Consider the following 23,320-nt stretch of genomic DNA (forward strand, 5'->3'; position numbering starts at 1 on the left):
ATTACAGGCGCCGGCTACCACGCCCAGCTAATTTTTTTATTTTTAGTAGAGATGGGGTTTCACCATGTCGGCCAGGCTGGTCTTGAACTCCTGACCTCAGGTGATCCACCCGCCTCGGCCTCCCAAAGTGCTGGGATTACAGGCTTGAGCCACTGCACCCAGTCTCTAAGAATTCTTTATAGGTAGTATTCTGAATTTGATCGAATTATAAAATATGTGGCTTGCAAGTATTTTCTTCTGGTCTGCATTTTGTCTTTTTAAAATTTTCTCTTTTTATTAGTATGTTTTGCATTGCTATGAAGGAATACCTGAGACTGGATAATTCATTAAGGAAAGATGTTTATTTGGCTCATGGTTCTGCAGGCTGTATGAGGAAGCTTTTACTCATGGTGGATGGCACAGGGGGAGCAGGCACACGTGGCAAGAGAGGGAGCAAGAGAGAAGGAAGTACCTCTTAAAAACCAGCTCTCACGTGAACTAATAGAGAATTTGCTTATTGCTAAGGAAGGACACAAAGCCATTCATGAAGGCTCCAGTCCCATGACCCAAACACCTCCCACTAGGCCTCACCTTCAACATGAGGATTACATTTCAACATGAAATTTGGAAGGGACATGCATCCATCCTACATTACTCTTCCACCTTTCCCTTTCCTAGTTTTCCTGCCTCTGTTAATCAGCTCTCTCTGGTTTTCACATTTTGCTTCCCACCTCAGCTATAGCAGATTGCTACCGATTCTTGCAGTTTTAATTATAATTATTATTCTTTTTTCTCTTCCCCCCCATTATTACTCAGATCTAGACCATATTACTTTAACCTTAATCACTAAAATAGCTACCGACTTGACCTACTTGATTCTAGGCTCTTCTTTCTTTGGTGCTATTATATTTTTCTTTGCTGTAAATACATAGCCATTTTTTTTTTCAAAACTAACAAATATTCCATGATCTATTTTAAACATTTTATAATGAAAAATTTCAAAAATAGCAAAGTTGGAAAATAAGACAATGAATACTCACATGCCTAATACCTAGATTCAATAATCTGTAATATTTTGGTATTACATCACACACACATACACACACACACACACACACACACACACACACACATATATATATGCACTTTTTTTCCCCTGAACCGTTCTAAAGTAAATTACAATTTCCATGAAATTTTACTTTTAAATTCTTCATCTGGCATCTCTCACTGACCTTTTCCTGCATAGGACATTCTCATACATAACCATAATGCCATAATCACACCGAACAATTAACAGAAATTCTCTAATATAGCTTAATACCCAGTCTATATTCAGATTTCCCCAATTGTTGCCAAAATGTTTCATGGCTGTTTTTTCCCTTCCAAATTAGTACTGAGCCAGTGACTCTCACTATGTTTATTAAACATCTTAATTCTGTCTTAATCTTGAATAGCTCCCATCCACTTTATACTTTGTCATCTTTATTGTTGTTGTTTCTCGTGACATTGACCTACTGAAGAAACCAGGCCACTTGTCTTGCAGTATGTTTTTTTCTGATTTTTTCTCTGTGGCATTGTTCAATAGTAGTTTTTTTATAGCCATAAATATAAAACATACCCATTTTATACCCATTTTGGACAATTCAGAAAATAGTGCAACAAAGATAAATAATTTCATCACCTAGGGATAGTTTTTCTTTAGTTTTCTTTTGCAGTTGCAGATTTACTTTATTTTATTATGTTTTATTTGAGACAAGATCTTGCTCTGACACTCATGCTGGAGTACAGTGGCACAATCACAGCTCACTGCAGCCTTGATCTCCTGGGCTCAAGTGATCCTCCTGCTTCAGCCTCCTGAGGAGCTGGGACTACAGGTGAACACCACCATGCCTGGCTAATTTTTTTTTTTTTTTTTTTGTAGAGATGGCTCACTATGTTGCCCAGGCTGGTCTCAAGCACCTGGGCTCAAACTATCATCCCACCTTGATCTTTCAAAATGTTAAGACTACAGGCATAAGCCACTGTGCCTGGCTCTTAGGCAGATTTTAAAAATAGTTTAGAGCATAATGATCATGTACTTAACATTTTACTAATTTCTCTTTAAACATGATTTTAAATGGCTGCACACTGTTTTATGTTATAATTGAACTGATGTTTACTTAAACTGATGTTTACTTATTGATTGAACATTTAGTTTCCTTTTAGTTTTTGACAATATAAACTGTGATGAACAGACATGAATAAGAATTTGATTATATTTCTCATTGCTTTCTTATAAATTATTACAGATGGTATTACTAGGTCAAAATATGTGAAGATTTTAAAGGTTTACTAAATTGCTTTTCATCCAGAAAGCAATTCCATAATTTGCTCTCTTACCAGCAGTGTATTCACGCTCTCTTTTCATATTAAACATTATTTATTTATCATTTATTTAGTAATATGCTGGAGATAAAACATTCTGACATTGTTTTGACAGTTCTGATTTCTTACCCATTTGAGTTCAAATTAGCCTTGGAGTATTTTCTAGCTGTAATTTAAGCTATCTATACTGATTCATTCTCTGCCCACCCTTCTTTCTCCATATTCCTGTCTCTGCTCAGGTTTACTTATTGTCTCAGGACACAACATACTGCTCTGGTAATATCGCTGTCCTCCCCATTGCCTTGCTTTTGTAGACTTTGTCCTCTGAGGTCTGGCACAAGTTGCACTGTTTCATTCTTCCATCTTTTATTGATTCTTCCTCTCAATATTCTTCCTCTCAATATTCTTTTTCTTCCTATTCTATCTTTTTCTCCCCCTTGATATTCTATCTTTTTTTCTGTTCTGTCTTTTTCATTCTTCCATCTTTTATTGATTCTTCCTCTCAATACTCTATAGCACTTAAGTCTATACCATACCATTTGGCACCCAACCAAATTTAATTCAAATATAACTTATAATTAGTATATCATGCACTTTGAGTTCTTTAATTTGAATCCTCCTTTTTCTGATAATTTAGAATAATATCTATCACCCTTACTGTTTGGGTGGAAATATCACCAATAAGCACTTTTCATCTAAAAAACTTTTAAACACCCTTTTCCTCCCAGTCACTTAAAACCCTTAATACTTTCTCATGTGACCTGTTAAGCCATTATCTGCTCTGTTGGTGATTTTAAAAATTTAAAAAACATATCAATGAGTGTAAGTCATTGTTCTCTAAGTTCTGCCCCAGCTTTAGGCTTGAGAACCATGGCATCTATCTCATGAGTTTTTTCCGAGGGAAAGATAGATGGAATGTTGGAAGGGCAGTTTGTGTGTCATTTATGAACTTTGTCTTATCGTACTTATGGCAAACAGAACTACCACTGAGTAATGTTTATTTCTCTCTAAATGTTATAGTTTTAAAAAATACTCCTTTTTGAGCCTATGGTATTTTATGTACCTGAGCTACTAGAATTTATATAAAAAATTGGTTTAAACCACCTAGGATTTACTTACGGCCATTAAAACTTTTAAATTGAACAACCATGATTATATTATTTAAAAATAGGATATTAAAAGGCAGTGTGTGGAACCCACACTGGGCAGTAATTGAGAGATCTAACTCTATGTGACCTTAGAAAAATTTACATTTTGAGGATAATAGCTTCCATATCCACAAAATGAAGGTGTTAGGGGAAAAAAGCACAGGCTTTACAATCTGACAGACTTGGCTTTTAATCATCAAACTGCCATTAACTACAGTATGATCTTGCTCAGTCACAATATCTAACCCCCATTTCCTCATTCATAAAGTATGATTAAGTACCATTAATAGTACTTAATCGTACTTTATTAAATAGTAACGTTTCATGAAATTATTGTGGATGCTGAGATATACATACAAAACCCTTTAGCATAGTGCCTAGCACAGAATAAATAATGTTAACTATTCTTATTCAGTGACCTTTTTGGCTATTGTAAATGATGTCCCCACAAACTTCAGAGAAGACTTTGAATTATAAGACATCATAACTTTAGTAATTTGGGTATTGTTGCTAATGTTTAGGTAATGATTAGTTTTAGTATGTTGTTTTCCAGTGCAATTACTTAAGAAAGCTTGTCTTCCTTAAGTATTATCTTCCTTGGAAGGTAATCCAGCTCTTGAAAATACCCATTCTGTGTGAGCCTTTCTGGACCTTGCTGTCTAATTTCTGAAATGCACACGGAGTGTTGGTGAGACTGTAAATGTACTTCTTTAATTGTCACAGTATTTTTCCTTTCCCTCACTTACCCTCCTCTCTTTTACTCCTCTCCCCTCCCTTTTACCCCCATAGCTAAAACATGTGACACCAATGCTGGACATTTTTTATCAAATGGCAGGAGAATTTAGTGTCTGACAATTTATGAAGAAGACACTTTGAAATAGGGATGTCAGAACAAGTCTCAAAATATCCCACTCAGGCACTGTCTTCTTAACCTATGCAATGCTCTCTGAATCATTGGTCTGAAATTGGATTATTCTATGATAGTATAAGATTTAGCTTAACAGTTTCATGTTTATTTAGAAAGGCTGTGGAACATGGAGGTTAGGGGTTAAAATACTATGAATGAAATTTCTGACATTACACTTTTTTTCTCTTTTTCCTGTGTATTTTAATTCTAGCAAAGCAAATGAGGAAATTAGAATATCCAAAACTCATTTAAAAAAATTGTGGTAAAATACATGTAACATAAAAGTTCATGTAATCCCTTTTAACTGTACATTTCTGTGACATTAAGTACATCCAAATTGTTCTGCATCTATCACCACCGTTCATTTCCAAAAATTTCTCATCTTCCTCAACTCAACCTGTACCCATGAAACACTAACTGCTCTTTCCCATGTTCCTAGTCTATGGTAACCACTGATCTACTTTCTGTCTCCATGAATTTGACTACTTTGGAACCTTCTATTAGTGGAGTCATATACTTTTTGTCCTTTTATGCCTGGCTTATTTCATTTATCATAATATCTTCAGGTCCATCCATGTTGTCATATGTCAAAATTTCCTTCCTTTCAAAGACTGAATAATACTCTATTGTATTTATGTGTATATACACACCACATATTGTTTATTCATTTATTCCTTGATGGACACTGCGTTGCTTCCACATTTTTGCTACTGAAAATAATGCTGCTGTAAATATGCATTGGTGTACAAATATTTCTTTGAGACCCTGCTTTCACTTTCGGGTATATACCCAGAATCCATCCAATTGTTGGATCATGTGGTAATTCTGTTTTTAATTTTTTGAGGACGTGCCATACCGTTTTCCACAGCAGCTATACCGTTTTACATTCCCACTAGCAATGCACAAGAGTTCAGTTTCTCTATATCTTCACAAACATTTAGCATTTTCTGTTTTTCTTTTTAATAATAGCCATCTTAAATAGCCATGGGTGTGAAGTGGTATCTCACTGTGCTTTGACTTGCATTGCCCTAATGACTAGTGATATTGAGCATCTTTTCATATACCTATTGGCAATATGTATATCTTATGTGGTGAAATCTCTGTTCAAATCCTTCGCCTGTTTTTGGTGAAGTACTTTTGACATTACAGTGTCAGAGGTGCCTATTACAACGTGCCTGTAAACTAGCTAGGATGATGCTACATACTATTGAACTTGTTGAAGAGAGAAACTGTAATCCAGATGCAAGGATCTTCGATGGTTGTTTCTCACTGCTACAATTGTATTTTATGACTTTTAAGTCATGACTTTTACCTTTTTTAAAATAATAAAATAGATAATGTGTACTGTGCATCCAACTTAGTAATTTAGGGGAAAAAGGAAACTAAGGGATGTAGCAACAAAAAAATTTATAAACTAGAAATTGGAGGAATTAATAACTGCAAGAATGGTTTATAAAAAGTTATGAAATAGAGAAATTGATAGAACTATACCAAGAAAAACAAGAGAACTAGGGTTAAAATCAGCAAACACAGACTATATAAAATGTAGGTATTTTTATAAATTAGAATTCTATGCCCACGTGGATGATAGATATGTAAATCTCAATGTAATGATATATACCTGAGTGGCACTTTATTTTGCTCAAATATGATCTGTAGGGTCTTTGTATTTTAGTTATCCAGTAGTTCTTTCTTCTCAGAAAAATAGAGTGGATGTTTTCATCCAATTTAGTTTTCAGCATAAAATTTTCTTATTTTATTTGTATATGTGTGTGTGATGTGAAATAAATACACATTTGGTAAGTTAGTTTGATATCATGTAAAGACTTCAGAGAATAGATATTTATGTGGCACAACTTTGCAGAGAATAATTTTATTAGCTTTCTTCCCTAATTTGAGCTTTCAAAAAAAACAAAAACAAAAACACTGATTACCGAAAATGTCAAAGTTGTTTAGTAAAAATAGAAAAATGTGAGGATAGACTATGCTTGTACACAAGGGAACTTTAAAAAGTTTGTGGAAAATGGAATTAAAAGATAAATATAAAAAATATAAACTTTAGTTCTCAATATAAGCTCCATCAGGAACAAGACACTTTTGTAAGCAATGATACCAGGCATTTAGTTCATCCCTAAATAACTGAGGGTCCTAGGAATTTAACTATGTCAGCGAAATCTTTTTTTATTATTATTACTGAAGAAAAATGGGTTCCTTTTACAAATTTTTTGAGGTTAGGAAACAAAAAGAAGTAAGAAGGAGCCAAGTCAGGACTGTAAGGTGGATACCTAATGATTTCCCATGGAAACTCTTGCAAAATTGCCCTTGTTTGTTGAGAGGAAATGAGCAGGAGCATTGTTGTGGTGGGGAAAGGACTCTGGTGAAGCTTTCCTAGGTATTTTTCTGCTAAAGCTTTAGCTAACTTTCTCATAATAATAAGCAGATGGTATTGTATTTTGGCCCTCCAGAAACTCAATAAGCAAAATGCCATGAGTATTTTGAATTGTGAATTTTTTGAATTGTTGCTATGACCTTTACTTGTAACCAGTCCACTTTTGCTTTGACTGGACTACTTCCACCTCTTAGTAGACATTGCTTTGATTGTTTTTGTCTTCAGTACTGGTAAAGGCATGTTTCATCTCCTGTTCTTTGAAGAAAGGCTTCAGGATCTTGATCACAGTTGCTTAAAATTTCCACTGAATGCACTGCTCTTGTCTGCAGCTGATCTGGGTGCAACAGTTTTGGCACCCATTGAGTGGAAAGTTTGCCCAACTTTAATTTTTCAGTCAGAATTGTGTAAGCTGAACCAGCTGAGATGTCTATGGTGTTGCCTATTGTTTCTGCTGTTAATCATCAGTCCTTTTCAATTAGGGCATGAACAAGTTTTTTTTTTTTTCCTCACAAATTGATGCAGATGGTCTGCCACTGAGGGCTTCATCTTCAACATTTTCTTGCTCCTTCTCAAAATGAGTTATCCATTTGTAAACTGCTGATTTCTTTGGGGCATTGTCCCCATAAACTTTTTGTAATGATTTTGCCATTCTTCCATCCAGTCTTCACCATAGATGTTTGTTCTTTTTTCAATTTAGTAGAATTCACATTGCTCTGATAGGAGCTTTTTTCAAATGGTCTTATGCTTCTTTGTGCTTCCAACTAGGTGCTGTTCAGACATGTTATAACAAGTTAATACAAGTTTGTTTTGGTGCAAATGTTTTTAAAATCCATGCATAGTTTTTAAATAATATGTATTTTTCATAAACTTTTTGAAGTCTCTTGTATTTGATGACTTCTACCATGGACATTGAACAACTATACTGTTTAACGCTAAATCTGAATTTAATGATGGATTTGGTTTTCCTCTTTTAAATCATGTGTAAATGACTATTAATTCTATTATGTGGGTTTTGGTTATGCTGCAATGCATTGTACCCATGGAACAGCACAACTAATGGCTAATACTTCTAATGTGAGGAATTTAATTCATCTTTAAAATGATTATAAATAAGTAGCAATATGAAAATAATAATAAGAGGTATTAAGTTCCTTCATTTTTCTAACAGGGTCAACATATTTCACTGGCACCTATTCACAAGCTTGAAGAAGCTCTGTATGAATACCAGCCACTGCAGATAGAGACATATGGACCACATGTTCCTGAGCTTGAGATGCTAGGAAGACTTGGGTATGTGTCCTAAAGAACTTTACATTGAGGAGCTGATATGTGGGACTTATTGCTGTTCTTAACTGACATGTTAACATTCTTAGATTTTCAGTTTATAGAACTTTACTGTTTTGTGAAAAATGAACAGTACTCAATACCAAATTGTTTTATTTAGTACATTAATTTTTCTGTGGACTTGTTAGGTCTCTTGAGATTGAGCCTGGAATACATTCGTTCTTTTAGAAGTCTGTCCTTGGCAGCCATATTGAAATGGCGTTTATTTTCAGTCATGAGTGTTTTTTTCTTTTTTAAAGAAATTGGGGCTTAATTTAGTTAGTAGTAAGCCAATAAAAATATGAATTGGGCTCCTTGCCATGAAAAAGGGTAGATTTACTCATTGTGCACTGTCTACAGTGAAACTACATTTATGAGCCATGAGCCATGAAATATATTTTGTTGAAAGGTATAATGTAAGGCTGGCCCTGTGGTTCAACAGTCATATTATATATATCCATTCTGGAAATGAACCTGGGATCCTGGCTTTTGTGAGGGATGGAGAGATGGTTATAGTCTCTCTCATGGGAGCAAGTGGGTATTTGTATACTTGAAAAGCGCAGGCACAGATGTTGCTAGATGGAGCAAATCATTTCTTGGTCTGATTTTAAAATGTGAACTATTGAATGAAAGGCTGATCCAGAAACTGTTGTTGCTTAACAAAAGAAAATAGTGGAAAGAATATACTGTGAAAAAAAAGTGGGTAAATCGAGTCCAAGAAACTAAAAAGCAATAGAAAAAGTCAGAGACCCCAAGAACAAAAACAAGAAAGATGAAACAAATAATAAAACCTACATGCATCTTCAAAAACAAAACCAAAATCTGGAACATGTTGCATAATATTTTACATGTGAACATCAAGGCTCCAAGGTAAAGTTACATTTAAATGATATTTAATATCTTAAGGCTAAATTTTATTCAGTTCTTTATTCTCTTAAAGTCCTACAGCCTGCAAGCATGAAGCCAACAGGATGTAAAACAACCTAAAACCCCCTTTGAGATAACAGATTTATTAAACAATTGTCTTAAATGCTAAAATTGAAGTTTGAAGAGATAGACAATATTGCGTTTTATAATGTAAAAAGTTATACATGATGTAGACATTTATTTCTTATCTCTTACAAAGAGCCAGAATCGTGTATCTTTAAAATAAATTTACTTCAAAATCTTTACTTTTAATGTCCGTGAAGTTCACGTGTTTAAAATAGTACTCCTCTGTTACTAGGTTTTGCATTTTCCAATAATTTTGTCAAAATTTTTCATATACAGATTTTCTTATGTCCGGGTAGCTTTCTTCTGTTCCTAGAATGTTGAATTATTATTATTTTTTTCTTGAGACAGAGTCTCACTTTGTCACCCAGGCTGGAGTGCAGTGGTGCAATCTTGGCTCACTGCAACCTCTGCCTCCTGGGTTCAAGTGATTCTCATGCCTCAGCCTCCCGAGTAGCTGAGGCTGCAGGCATGCACCACCATGCCTGGCTAATTATTGTATTTTTTGTAGAGACAGGGTTTCACCATGTTGGCCAGGCTGGTCTCGAACTCCTGGCCTCAAGTGATCTGCCCACCTTGGCCCCCCAAAAGTGCTGGGATTACAAGTGTGAACCACTGCGCCCGGCCCATCTTTTAATATACTGAATTCAGTTTGCTGGTGTTTTGTCAGGGATTCTTGCATTAGTGTTCATAAAGGATATTGGCTCATAGTGTTTTCTAGCTTTATTAAGATATAATTAAAAAAGAAAAATTATATATATTTAAGATAGAGAAGATTTTTTTAAGTATTAATTTTTGTGGGCACATAGTAGGTATATATACAGTGGGCTATGGGAGATATTTTGATACAAGCATGTAATGTGTAATAATCACATTAAGGTAGATGGTATATCCATTACCTCAACATTTATTCTTTGTGTTACAAAGAATCCAATTATATTATTTTAGTTATTTTCGAATGTACAATTAAATTATGATTGACTATAGTCACCCTGTTGTTCTATCAAATACTAGTTCTTGGCCAGGCGCAGTGGCTCATGCCTGTAATCCCAGCTCTTTGGGAGGCTGAGGTGGGCAGATCACTTGAGGTCAGGAGTTTGAGGCAAGCCTGGCCAACATGATGAAACCCCGACTCTACTAAAAATACAAAATAATAGCTGGGTATGGTGGTATGCACCTTTAATCACAGCTACTTGGGAGGCTGAGGCAGGAGAATCACTTGAACCTGGGAGGCAGAGGTTGCAGTGAGCCAAGATTGTGCCACTGCACTCTAGCCTGGGTGACAAAAACAAAAACAAACAAAACAAAACCAAAAACTGGTTCCTATTCATTCTAACTATTTTTTTTTCTACCCATTAACCATCCCCACATCCTCTCCCACCTCCTCACTACCCTTCACAACCTCTGGTGACCTTCCTTCTACTCCCTATCAGTTCAATTTTTAGCTTCCACAAATAAGTGGGAACATGCTAAGTTTGTCTTTCTGTGCCTGGCTTATTTCACTTAACATAATGACCACCAGTTCCATGTATGTTGTTTCAAATGACAGGATCGCATACCTTTTTTATGGCTGAATAATACTCCACTGTGTATATGTACCACATTTTCTTTATTCAGTCATCTGTTGATGGACATGTAGATTGCTTCCAAATCTTGGCTATTGTGAACAGTCCTGTAACAAACATGGGAGTGCAGATGTCATTTTGAAATACTAATTCCCTTTCTTTTGGGTATATACCCAGCAGTGGGATTGCTGGATCATATAGTAGCTCTATTTTTGTTTTTTGACAAACCTCGAAACTGTTCTCCATACTGGTTGTACTAATTTACATATCCACCAACAGTGTACAAGATTTTCTTTTTTCCACATCCTCTCCAGTACTCGTTACTGCTTGTCTTTGGATAAAAGCCATTTAAACTGGGATGAGATTCTATCTCATTGTAGTTTTGATTTGCATTTCTCTGATGATTACTGGTGATGTTGAGCATTTTTACATATGACTGTTTGCCATTTGTATATCTTCCTTTGAGAAATGTATGTTCAAATCTTTTGCCCATTTTTAAGTTGGATTATTACATTTTTTCCTGTTGAGTTGTTTGAGTTCCTTACATATTCTGGTTAATAATGCCTTGTCAGATGGGTAGTTTGAAAATATTTTCTCCCATTCTATAGGTTGTCTCTTTGTTCATCGATTTCTTCGCTTTGCAGAAGCTTTTTAACTTGATGTGGTCCTACTTACCTATTTTTGCTTTAGTTGCCTGTGCTTGTGGGGGTGTTCCTCAAAAATCTTTGCCCACTCCAATATCCTGGAGCGTTTCCCCAATGTTTAATTTTAGTAGGTTAAATAGTTTGAGGTCTTAGATTTAAGTGTTTCATCCTGATTTGATTTTTGTATGTGGTGAGAGTTAGGGGTCTAGTTTCATTCTTATGCATATGGATATCCAGTTTTCCCAGTACCATATTTTGAAGAGATTTTCTTTTCCCAAATGTATGGTCTTGGCACTTTTGTCAAAAATGAGTTCACTGTAGATGCATGGATTTGTTTTGAGATTCTCTATTTTGTTCCATTGGTCTCTGTGTCCATTTTTATGCCAGTACCATGCTATTTTAGTTACTATAGCTCTGTAGTATTTGAAGTCAGGTAATATAATTCCTGAAGTTTTATATCTTTAAAGTTTCTTTAAAGATAGCTTTGGCTATTCTGGGTCTTTTGTGATTCCATATAAATTTTAGGAATTTTTTAATTTCTGTGAAGAATGTCATTGGTATTTTGATAGAGATTGCATTTAATCTGTAGATTGCTTTGGGTACTATGGCCATTTTAACATTATTGATTCTTCCAATCCATGAACATGGAATATCTTTTGTGTGTGTGTGTCCTCTTCAATTTTTTGCGTCAGTATTTTATAGTTTTCATAGTAGAGATCTTTCACTTATTTGGTTAATTCCTAGGTATTTTATTCTAGCTATTGTAAATGGGATTACTTTCTTGATTTCTTTTTTAGATTGTTCACTCTTGGCATATAGAAATGCTGCTGATTTTTGTGTGCTGATTTTGTATTCTGCAACTTTACTCAATTTGTTTATCAGTTCTAATAGTTTTTTTGTGAAGTCTTTAGGTTTTTCCAAATATAAGATCATATCATCTGTAAACAAAAATAATTTGACTTACTCCTTTCTGCTTTGGATGTCCTTTATTTCTTTCTCCTGTCTGATTGCTCTAGCTAGGACTGCCAGTTCTGTGTTGAATAGCAGTGGTGATAGTGGGCATTCTTGCTGTATTCCAGATCTTAGAAGAAAGACTTTCAGTTTTCCCCCATTCAGTATACTAGCTGCAGGTCTGTTATATATGGCTTTCATTATGTTGAGGTAAATTCCTTTTATACCCAGGTTTTTGAGGGTTTTTACCATGAAAGAATGTTGAATTTTATTAAATGCTTACTCAGCATCAGTTGAAGTGATCATATGGTTTGGTCCTCACTCTGTTGATATGATATATCATATTGATTGATTTGCATATGTTGAACCATCCTTGTATTCCTGGGATAAATCACATGTGGTCATGATGAGTGAATGATCTTTTTAACATGTTGTTGAATTCAGCTTGCTAGTATTTTGTTGAGGCTTGCAAACACTATCTTATAACCCATTATTTTAAGCTGATGACAACTTAAGGTTGATAGCATAAACAAACAAACAAACAAATAAGCAAAATCAAAACTAGTAAAAACTCTACACTTTAACTTTGTCCCCTTGCTTTTTAACTTTTTGTTGTTCTATTTATATCTTATTGTACTACGTCTTGAAAAGTTGTAGTTATTATGTTTAATTGATTTATCTTTTAGTTTTCCTACTTAAGAGTAGTTTATCTACCATGATTACAGTGTGGGAATATTCTGTGTTTTTCTGTGTACTTACCATTACCAGTGAATTTTGTACCTTCAGGTGACTTCATATTGCTCATTAATGTTCTTTTCTTTCTAATTGAAGAACCCCCTTTAGCATTTCTTGTAAGACAGGTCTGGTGTTGATAAAAACCTTCAGCTTTTGTTTGTCCGGGAAAGTCTTTATTTGTTTCTCCTTCATGTTTGCAGAACATTTTCACCGGATATACTATTCTAGGGCAAAAGCTTTTTCCTTCATGCCAGTCTCTTCTGGCCTATAAGGTTTCCACTGAAGAGTTCGCTGCCAGACATATTGGACCTCCATTCTATGTTATTTGTATATTTTGTCTTTCTGCTTGTAGAATTCTTTATCCTTGACCTTTGGGAGTTTGAGTGTTAAATGCTTTGAGGTATTCTTTTTTGAGTTGAATCTGCTTGGTGTTCTGTAACCTTCTTGTACTTGAATAGTTGAATATTGATATATTTCTCTAGATTTGGGAAATGTTCTGTTATTCTCCTTATGAATAAACGTTCTACCCTCATCTCTCTCTCTGTCTCCTATTTAGGCCCCATAACTCTTAGATTTGCACTTTTGAGGCTATTTTCTAGATCTTTTAGGCATGCTTCATTGTTTTTTATTGTTAATTTTGTTTTGTTTTCTTTGACTGTATTTTCAAATAGCTTATATTCAAGTTCACTCTTCTGCTTAATCAATTCTGCTATTAAGAGACTCTGGTTTTTGTTTGTATTTTCTTGATGATTAGTGATGTTGAGCAGCTTTTCATACACCTTTTGGCCATTCATATGTTATCTTTGGGGAAATGACTATTCAGGTCCTTTGCCCATTTTTAAGTTGAGTTATTTGGTTTTGTTTGCCTTTGAGCTATTCAAGTTCTTTATATAATTTGGGTATTAACCCTTTATTGGATGTATAGTTTGTATAGTTTGCAAATATATTTTCCCAATGTGTAGGTTGGTTTTTCATTTTGTTGTTTATTTCCTTTGTTGTCTAGAGCTTTTTAGTTTGATGTAGCTCTATTTGTTTATTTTCAGTTTTGTTGCGTATTTGGTGTCTTATCCAGAAAACCATTGCCAAAGTTAACATCAAGGATCTTTCTCACTATGTTTTCTCTTAAGAATTTTATGGTTTCAGGTTTTATTTTTAAGTCTTTAGTCCATTTTGAGTTGATGTTTTTTAATATGGTGTATGATAAGGGCCAGTTTCATTCACTTGTATGTGTATAGTTCTCTCAGTGCCATTGACTAAAAATATTAGCCTTTTTCCATTGTATGTTTTCATGCCCTTATCAAAAATTAGTTGACTGCAGATGTTTGGGTTTATTTCTGGGCTCCCTATTCTGTTCCAATGTGTATATGTTTGTTTTTGTGTCAATACCATACTATAGCTTTGTAATATTATCTGATATCAGCAAATTTGGTGTTTCCAACTTTGTTCTTCCTTTTCAAGGCTGTTTTGTTTTTTGTGGGTATTTTGTGGTTTCATGTGAACTTTATAATTTTTTTCTGTTTGTATTGAAAATGCCATGAGAATGTTGATAGGGATTTTGTTGAATCTGTATACTGCTTTTGGTAGTATGGACATTTTAACAATATTCCTCTATTCTTACGGACATGGGATTTGTTGCCGTTTATTTATGTTGTCTTCAGTGTTTCATATTTTTCAGTGTGTACAGCTTTGACCTCCTTTGTTAAATTTGTTCTTAAGTATCTTAATCTTTTTGATTAATCTTTTGATTAGCCTTTGAAAAAGGCTAATGTAATGTTTTGATTACATTACATTAAAGGCTAATGTAATGTTTTGATTTTTTTCAGATATATCAATATTAGTATAAAGAAATATAGCTGATTTTTGCATGTCTGTTTTGATTACAAAAAAGCTAATGTAATGTTTTGATTTTTTTTTCAGATACTTCACTATTAGTATAAAGAAATATAGCTGATTTTTGCATGTCTGTTTTCTATCTTGCTACTTTATTGAATTCATTTTCTAATTCTAACTTTTTGGTCTAATCTTTATGATTTTGTACATATAGGATCATGTCATATGCAGAGAGGCATAATTTTACTTCTTGATTTCCTATTTGGATGTATTTTATTTTTCTTGTCTAATTGCTCTTTATAATACTTCCAATTCTATGTTGAATGTAATTGATGAAAGTGGACGTCCTTGTCTTGGGGTCAGGCAAAAACTGAAAACTTTTCCTCTGTTGATTATAATGTTAGGCATAGGCCTTTCATAAATGACCTCAATTTTGTTCAGGACATTTTATTCTAAACTTATTTTGTTGACAGTTGTTATGAAAAGATTTTGAACTTTGTCAAATGCTTTCCCTGCATATATATTGAGATGATCATGTGGTTTTTATTTTTCATTCTATTGATGAGTTGTATAACATTGATTTGCATTTTTTTTGTTGTTGTTGTTACATATCAGAGCTGTTTTTTTTTCTTGTTTTTGTTTGTTTTTTGTTTTTATTTTATTTTATTATTATGCTTTAAGTTTTAGGGTACATGTGCACAATGTGCAGGTTAGTTACATATGCATACATGTGCCATGCTGGTGTGCTGTACCCATTAACTCGTCATTGAGCATTAGGTATATCTCCTAATGCTATCCCTCCCCCCTCCCCCCACCCCACAACAGTCCCCAGAGTGTGATGTTCCCCTTCCTGTGTCCATGTGTTCTCATTGTTCCCACCTGTGAGTGAGAACATGTGGTGTTTGGTTTTTGTCCTTGCGATAGTTTACTGAGAATGATGATTTCCAGTTTCATCCATGTCCCTACAAAGGACATGAACTCATCATTTTTCATGGCTGCATAGTATTCCATGGTGTAGCAGAACTGCAGGAAATAGAGACACAAAAAACCCTTCAAAAAATTAATGTATCCAGGAGCTGGTTTTTTGAAAGGATCCACAAAATTGATAGACCGCTAGCAAGACTAATAAAGAACAAAAGAGAGAAGAATCAAATAGATGCAATAAAAAATGATAAAGGGGATATCACCACCAATCCCACAGAAATACAAACTACCATCAGAGAATACTACAAACACCTCTATGCAAATAAACTAGAAAATCTAGAAGAAATGGATAAATTCCTCGACACACACACCCTCCCAAGACTAAACCAGGAAGAAGTTGAATCTCTGAATAGACCAATAACAGGCTCTGAAATTGTGGCAATAATCAATAGCTTACCAACCAAAAAGAGTCCAGGACCAGATGGATTCACAGCTGAATTCTACCAGAGGTACAAGGAGGAACTGGTACCATTCCTTCTGAAACTATTCCAATCAATAGAAAAAGAGGGAATCCTCCCTAACTCATTGTATGAGGCCAGCATCATCCTGATACCAAAGCTGGGCAGAGACACAACCAAAAAAGAGAATTTTAGACCAATATCCTTGATGAACATTGATGCAAAAATCCTCAATAAAATATTGGCAAACCGAATCCAGCAGCACATCAAAAAGCTTATCCACCATGATCAAGTGGGCTTCATCCCTGGGATGCAAGGCTGGTTCAACATACACAAATCAATAATCATAATCCAGCATATTAACAGAACCAAAGACAAAAACCACATGATTATCTCAATAGATGCAGAAAAGCCTTTGACAAAATTCAACAACGCTTCATGCTAGAAACTCTCAATAAATTAGGTATTGATGGGACATATCTCAAAATAATAAGAGCTATCTATGACAAACCCATAGCCAATATCATACAGAATGGACAAAAAATGGAAGCATTCCCTTTGAAAACTGGCACAAGACAGGGATGCCCTCTCTCACCACTCCTATTCAACATAGTGTTGGAAGTTCTGGCCAGGGCAATCAGGCAGGAGAAGGAAATAAAGGGCATTCAATTAGGAAAAGAGGAAGTCAAATTGTCCCTGTTTGCAGATGACATGATTGTATATCTAGAAAACCCCATCGTCTCAGCCCAAAATCTCCTTAAGCTGATAAGCAACTTCAGCAAAGTCTCAGGATACAAAATCAAGGTACAAAAATCACAAGCATTCTTATACACCAACAACAGACAAACAGAGAGCCAAATCATGAGTGAACTCCCATTCACAATTGCTTCAAAGAGAATAAAATACCTAGGAATCCAACTTAGAAGGGATGTGAAGGACCTCTTCAAGGAGAACTACAAACCACTGCTCAATGAAATAAAAGAGGATACAAACAAATGGAAGAACATTCCATGCTCATGGGTAGGAAGAATCAATATTGTGAAAATGGCCATACTGCCCAAGGTAATTTATAGATTCAATGCCATCCCCATCAAGCTACCAATGACTTTCTTCACAGAATTGGAAAAAACTTACTTTAAAGTTCATATGGAACCAAAAAAGAGCCCGCATCGCTGAGTCAATTGTAAGCCAAAAGAACAAAGCTGGAGGCATCACACTACCTGACTTCAAACTATACTACAAGGCTACAGTAACCAAAACGGCATGGCACTGGTACCAAAACAGAGATATAGATCAATGGAACAGAACAGAGCCCTCAGAAATAATGCTGCATTATCTACAACTATCTGATCTTTGACAAACCTGAGAAAAACAAGCAATGGGGAAAGGATTCCCTATTTAATAAATGGTGCTGGGAAAACTGGCTAGCCATATGTAGAAAGCTGAAACTGGATCCCTTCCTTACACCTTATACAAAAATTAATTCAAGATGGATTAAAGACTTAAACGTTAGATCTAAAACCATAAAAACCCTAGAAGAAAACCTAGGCAATACCATTGAGGACATAGGCATGGGCAAGGACTTCATGTCTAAAACACCAAAAAAAATGGCAACAAAAGCCAAAATTGACAAATGGGATCTAATTAAACTAAAGAGCTTCTTCACAGCAAAAGAAACTACCATCAGAGTGAACAGGCAACCTACAAAATGGGAGAAAATTTTCACAACCTACTCATCTGGCAAAGAGCTAATATCCAGAATCTACAATGAACTCAAACAAATTTGCAAGAAAAAACAAACAACCCCATCAAAAAGTGGGCAAAGGATATGAACAGACACTTCTCAAAAGAAGACGTTTATGCAGCCAAAAAACACATGAAAAAATGCTCACCATCACTGGTCATCAGAGAAATGCAAATCAAAACCACAATGAGATACCATTTCACACCAATTAGAATGGCAATCATTAAAAAGTCAGGAAACAACAGGTGCTGGAGAGGATGTGGAGAAATAGGAACACTTTTACACTGTTGGTGGGACTGTAAACCAGTTCAACCATTGTGGAAGTCAGTGTGGTGATTCCTCAGGGATCTAGAAGTAGAAATACCATTTGACCCAGCCATCCCATTACTGGGTATATACCCAAAGGACTATAAATCATGCTGCTATAAAGACACATGCACACATATGTTTATTGCGGCACTATTCACAATAGCAAAGACTTGGAACCAAGCCAAATGTCCAACAATGATAGAGCGGATTAAGAAAATGTGGCACATATACACCATGATTTGCATTTGTTAAACCAACCTTGCATCCCAGGCATAAATTTACGTACTCATGATGTAAAATCTTCTTGGTATGTTGTTGATTGCATCTCTTCATCTGAGATACTGGCTTTTAGTTTTCTTGTAGTCTCTGTCTGGCTTTTATATCAGAATGTATAGTCAGGGTTCTCTAGAGGGACAGAACTAATAGATAGATGTATATATGAAGGGGAGTTTATTACGGAGTATTGACTCACACGATCACAAGGTGAAGCCCCACTATACACCATCTGCAAGCTAAGGAGCAAGGGAGGAAGCCAGTCCGAGTCCCAAAATCTCAAAAGTAGGGAAGCCGACAGAGCAGCCTTCAGTCTGTGGCCGAAGGCTTGAGTGCCCCTGGCAAACCACTGGTTTAAGTCCAAGAGTCCACAAGCCGAAGAACTTGGAGTCCAATGTTTGAGGACAGAAAGCATCCAGCATGGGAGAAAGATGAAGTCTGGAAGACTCAGCAAGTCTGCTCTTTCCACCTTCTTTTGCCTGCTTTATTCTAGCCACACTGGCAGCTGATTAGGTGGTGCCCACCCAGATTGAGAATGCGTCTGCCTCTCCCGGCTCACTGACTCTTGTTAGTCTCCTTTGGCAACACCCTCACAGACACACCCAGGAACAATACTTTGCATCCTTCCATCCAATCAAGTTGACATTCACTATTAACCATCACACAGAGTATAGAATGAGTTAGGGAGTGTTTCTTCCTCTTCACTTTTTTAGAAACATTTGAGAAGGATTGGTGATAGTTCTTCTTTAAATGTTTCATCTAGGTTACCCAGTTTGCTCATAGTTCTCTCATATAATCCTATAATCCTTTTAATTTCTTTAGAATTGGTAATAATGGCTCCACTTTCATTTCTGATTTTAGTAATTTAAGTCTTCTCTCCTTTTTCCTTAGTCTATTTAGCATTTCTGATTTTACTAATTTAAGTCTTCTCTCGTTTTTTCTTAGTCTGTTTAGCTAAAGATCTGGTAATTTTGTTGATCTTTTTGACAGAATCACCTCAATTTATTTATTTTTCTCTTTTTTCTATTCTCTATTTTGTTTATTTCTGCTTTAATCTTCATTATTTTCTTTTTTCTGCTAGTTTTAGGTTTAGTTTGTTCTTCTCTTTCTAGTTCCTTAAGTGTAATGTTAGATTGTTGATTTAAGACTTTTCTTGTTTTGTTTGTTTTTTTTTTGAGACAAAGTCTTGCTGCTCTGTTGCCCACGCCAGAGTGCAGTGGCATGATTCAGCTAACTGCAACCTCCGCCTCCCATATTCAAGTGCTTCTCCTGCTTCAGCCTCCTGAGTAGCTGGAATTTACAAGCGTGCACCACCATTCCTGGCTAATTTTTTGTAGTTTTAGTAGAGACCGGGTTTTACCACGTTGGCCAGGCTGGTCTCGAACTCCTGACTTCAAGTGATCTGCCCACCTTGGCCTCCCAAAGTGCTGGGATTACAGGTGTGAGACACTGTGCTTGGTCAGATTTTTCTTGTTTTTTAATGTTAGCACTCATAGCTATAAATTTTCCTCTTAGTACTCTTTTGCTGTGTCCCATACGTTTTGGTATGGCTTGTTCTTGTTTTTATTCATTTCCAACTATTTTCTAATTTTCCTTGCGATTTTTTTTGAAACATTGGTTATTTAATAGTGTATTGTACGATTTCTACAAATTTGTGAATTTTCTAGTTTTTCTTCCATTATTGGTTGCTAACCTCATCCTGTTATGATTGGGGAAGATACTTTGTATGATACCAATTTTTTAAAAATTTATTAACACTTAAATTATGGCCTAAAATATGGCCTGTCCTGGAAAATGTTCCATGTGCACTTTAGAGGAATGTGTAGTGTATTTTCTTGTAGTTGAGTATAGTGTTCCATATATGTTTTTTCAGTCCAGTTGGTTTATTCTATTGTTCAAGTCCTCTGTTTTATTTATCTTTTGTCTAGTTTTTCTATCTATTATTGAGAGGGGAGTATTGAAGGCTTTAACTATTATTGTAAAACTCTCCCTTTGGTTCATATGTTTTGATGGTCTGTTATTAGGTAAGTAAATATTTTAACTAATATGTTATGTTCTTTTGTCTTATGAACACTTAAAGTTGAAAATCTGTTTTGCCTCATATTAGTATTTACCTCTGTTCTGTTTTTGTTACTATTCGCATGGAATAGCCTTTTTCATTCTTTTACTTTTAACCTATTTGTGATTTTGAATCCAAAGTTAGTTTCTTGTAGATAACATATAGTTGGATCATGGTTTTATTTATTTTTTATGTATTCTACCAATTTCTATCTTTTGATTGGAGGGTTTAATTAAGCCACATTTAAAGTTATTACTGATAAGGATGGTCTTCCATCATTTTTTATTTGTTTTACATGTGCCTTATAGCTTTTTCTCCCTTATTTCCTATATAACTGTTTTCTTTGTGTTTATTTTTTAGTGCCACATTGAAATTCTTTGCTTATCCTCTATTGTGTATATTCTTGAGCTATTCTTTTGTCATTATGATGATTACATTTATTATCCTAAGTTGTAGCACTCTGAATTTATACAAGCTTAACTTCAGTAACATGCAGAAACTCTGCTTTTAAACAGTTCTGTCCTCACCCCTTTTAGTTGACAGCACCACAGAATTACATCTTTATATATTGTGTGTCCAAGATTATTAATAAATTATTTTTTTAAATGTGTTAGTTTCTTAAATTATGTAGAAAACAAAATGTGAGTTATAAAACTTAGTAATAATACTGGCTTTTAGACTAATTTTTTTAAAAAAGATATTAGTCTCTTAAATCTTACAATGTTATACCTTTTGATTATCTTTTTTACTTACACCTCTTGTATGCTCTATTTTGTGCTTTTTAATTTTTTAAAAAAGTTTGTTTTAAAAGTTAGGATAATTTCTCTTGTCCCATCTTCAAGTTCACTTATTCTTCTATTTTGCCCATTCTGCTGATAAGGCCATCAAAGGAATTCTTTTTAATATTGCAATTTTTATATCTAGTATTTTCATTCACTTTTTAAAAATGATTTTCACTTCTTAAATTCCCTACCTGTTCATACATATTATCCACCTTTTCCATTAGATCCTTTAAGTTATTAATCATAGTATTTTCTTAACTCCTCCTCTTATCTTTGGGTTTGATTCTGTTGACTGTTTTGTGTCCTCATGATACATTTGTTTTCCTGTTTGTTTTAGTTATTATTTGAATATTGGACATTCTGTATGACAGAATAGTAGATTCTGAGATAAATAATATTTATGCACAGAAATATTTACATGCCTTTTTCTGCTAGGCCATTAGTGTCAAGAGCTGAGTATTCTGTATTTTGATCTTGGTTTTGGTTTTTTGTTGCTCCAGTTCCTATCAATGTACCACAGGCTTCAAATTCATCTAGTCACAATTTATTGCCACCTTGCTTTTAGTGTGAGGCCTGGAGTGCTGGAAGGAGTTTTCTAGGTTTTCTTGTTCTACCCTCTAGTTTTCAACAGGCTCTGTAAGCCTGAGCCACAGAGGGCTTCTCTCTTGGTGTTGCTCCCCTATAGTAGATTGCCCTTGCTTTTTACTTAGAATAAGTCTTATGGTGGGAAGAAGGTTTTTCTTGCTTCTCCTTTTCCAACGTTAGTCATAGGAGGACCTGTGTGCCTGAGGATCAGGATGGTGCTTTCTTAGTGTTCCTACTTCTTTCCCAGAGGCCAACAATTTGTATCTGTTACTTCAGGGTACAGGTGGCTTTTCTGTCCCTCCCCAGACTCGCAACTGAAGTTTGTCTTGTTTTGTTGCAGGTGGGGAATCTTGGGCACAGGGCTGTTTCCTGCCTCTCCCCTAGACTTATGCTTTGCATCAGTGTAGGACCCTAGGTGTGAGTTGGTTTCCTGCCTTTCCTCAGTGGTTGGTTTCTCTTTCCTGTTTCAATGTAGGACTAGGAATGCGGGCAGTAGGTTTTCTACCCCTCCTCCATTGGCACCCAATCTTTGCTCCTCCGTAGCAGTGGAGGCTTGGATGTTTTTTTTTTTTAAAATAATTTATTTCCTCTTGCATTTAGTGCTTCATTATTGCTGATTTTATTGGGTCTGTTTCATGGAATATCCTCCTCATCTTTCTTTTTTAGTCTTCTATGGTGGTGGTACTTCTTAGAACATGAAGATTTAAATAAGGGTTAGAATTCCCTGTAAAGTAGGTTTAGCCTGATTGTCTATTTTTTCCCAGTAAGTTATTAAATTAAATAAACTTGGGCAACACTTTGTTTGGAGCCCTTTTTGTGTTTCTTTCTGCCTTTACCTCTATGGGTTGGAGTTTTAAATGTAGGATGTGTCCTTTAGATAAGGTATAACCTTAGTGTTCTTACTTTTCCCAAGTTTTTCATACTTAACATCTGATTTGAAGGGAGGGAGGAGCACTTTTTGTGTGTTTGTGTGTGTGTCTGTTGGTGGTGGTGGTGGTGGTAGGGCCTTCATCAAGCATTGAATATTTATAATACAATTAGTTCCAAGATCCTAGAAGTAGACTTTTGTCTTTGTCCATAAAGACTGTACATACATTTTATATCTACAACAGTTAAAAAGGCAAATTGTTACGATTACAAATAAACATGTATACACTTCAAGCAGTAAATCTTGGCCGTAACAGTTTCTTTTAGCCATCTGTGGCTAAATAGTGAAGGAATTTAGATAATTAGTAGTGATATCAGAATTGCTAAATAATTTGTTTTTTTTGGTCCAGGAACTATTTATCTACCAAAATAGAATGTGTAACTCATACTTCCCTTCTCTTCAGTCTTCTACCTTGACAAAGGGATTACATTCT

At 35.1% G+C, this 23,320-nt stretch overlaps 1 protein-coding gene across 6 annotated transcripts in view; it reads left to right on the plus strand.

Annotated features, from left to right (window-relative positions):
* The window catches only part of MNAT1 (MNAT1 component of CDK activating kinase), a 235,205-nt gene that overhangs the window by 136,998 nt on the left and 74,887 nt on the right, over positions 1 to 23,320 (plus strand). For all 6 annotated transcript variants that reach the window (NM_002431.4, NM_001177963.2, XM_005267688.4 and 3 more), the window contains one exon: positions 7,956 to 8,077. In NM_002431.4, coding sequence (NP_002422.1) covers positions 7,956 to 8,077 — 122 coding nt within the window. The remainder of the gene's footprint in view (positions 1 to 7,955; positions 8,078 to 23,320) is intronic.

The sequence above is a fragment of the Homo sapiens genome, chromosome 14 (genome assembly GCF_000001405.40).
Source record: "Homo sapiens chromosome 14, GRCh38.p14 Primary Assembly".
In the NCBI taxonomy this organism is placed as follows: Eukaryota; Metazoa; Chordata; class Mammalia; order Primates; family Hominidae; genus Homo; species Homo sapiens.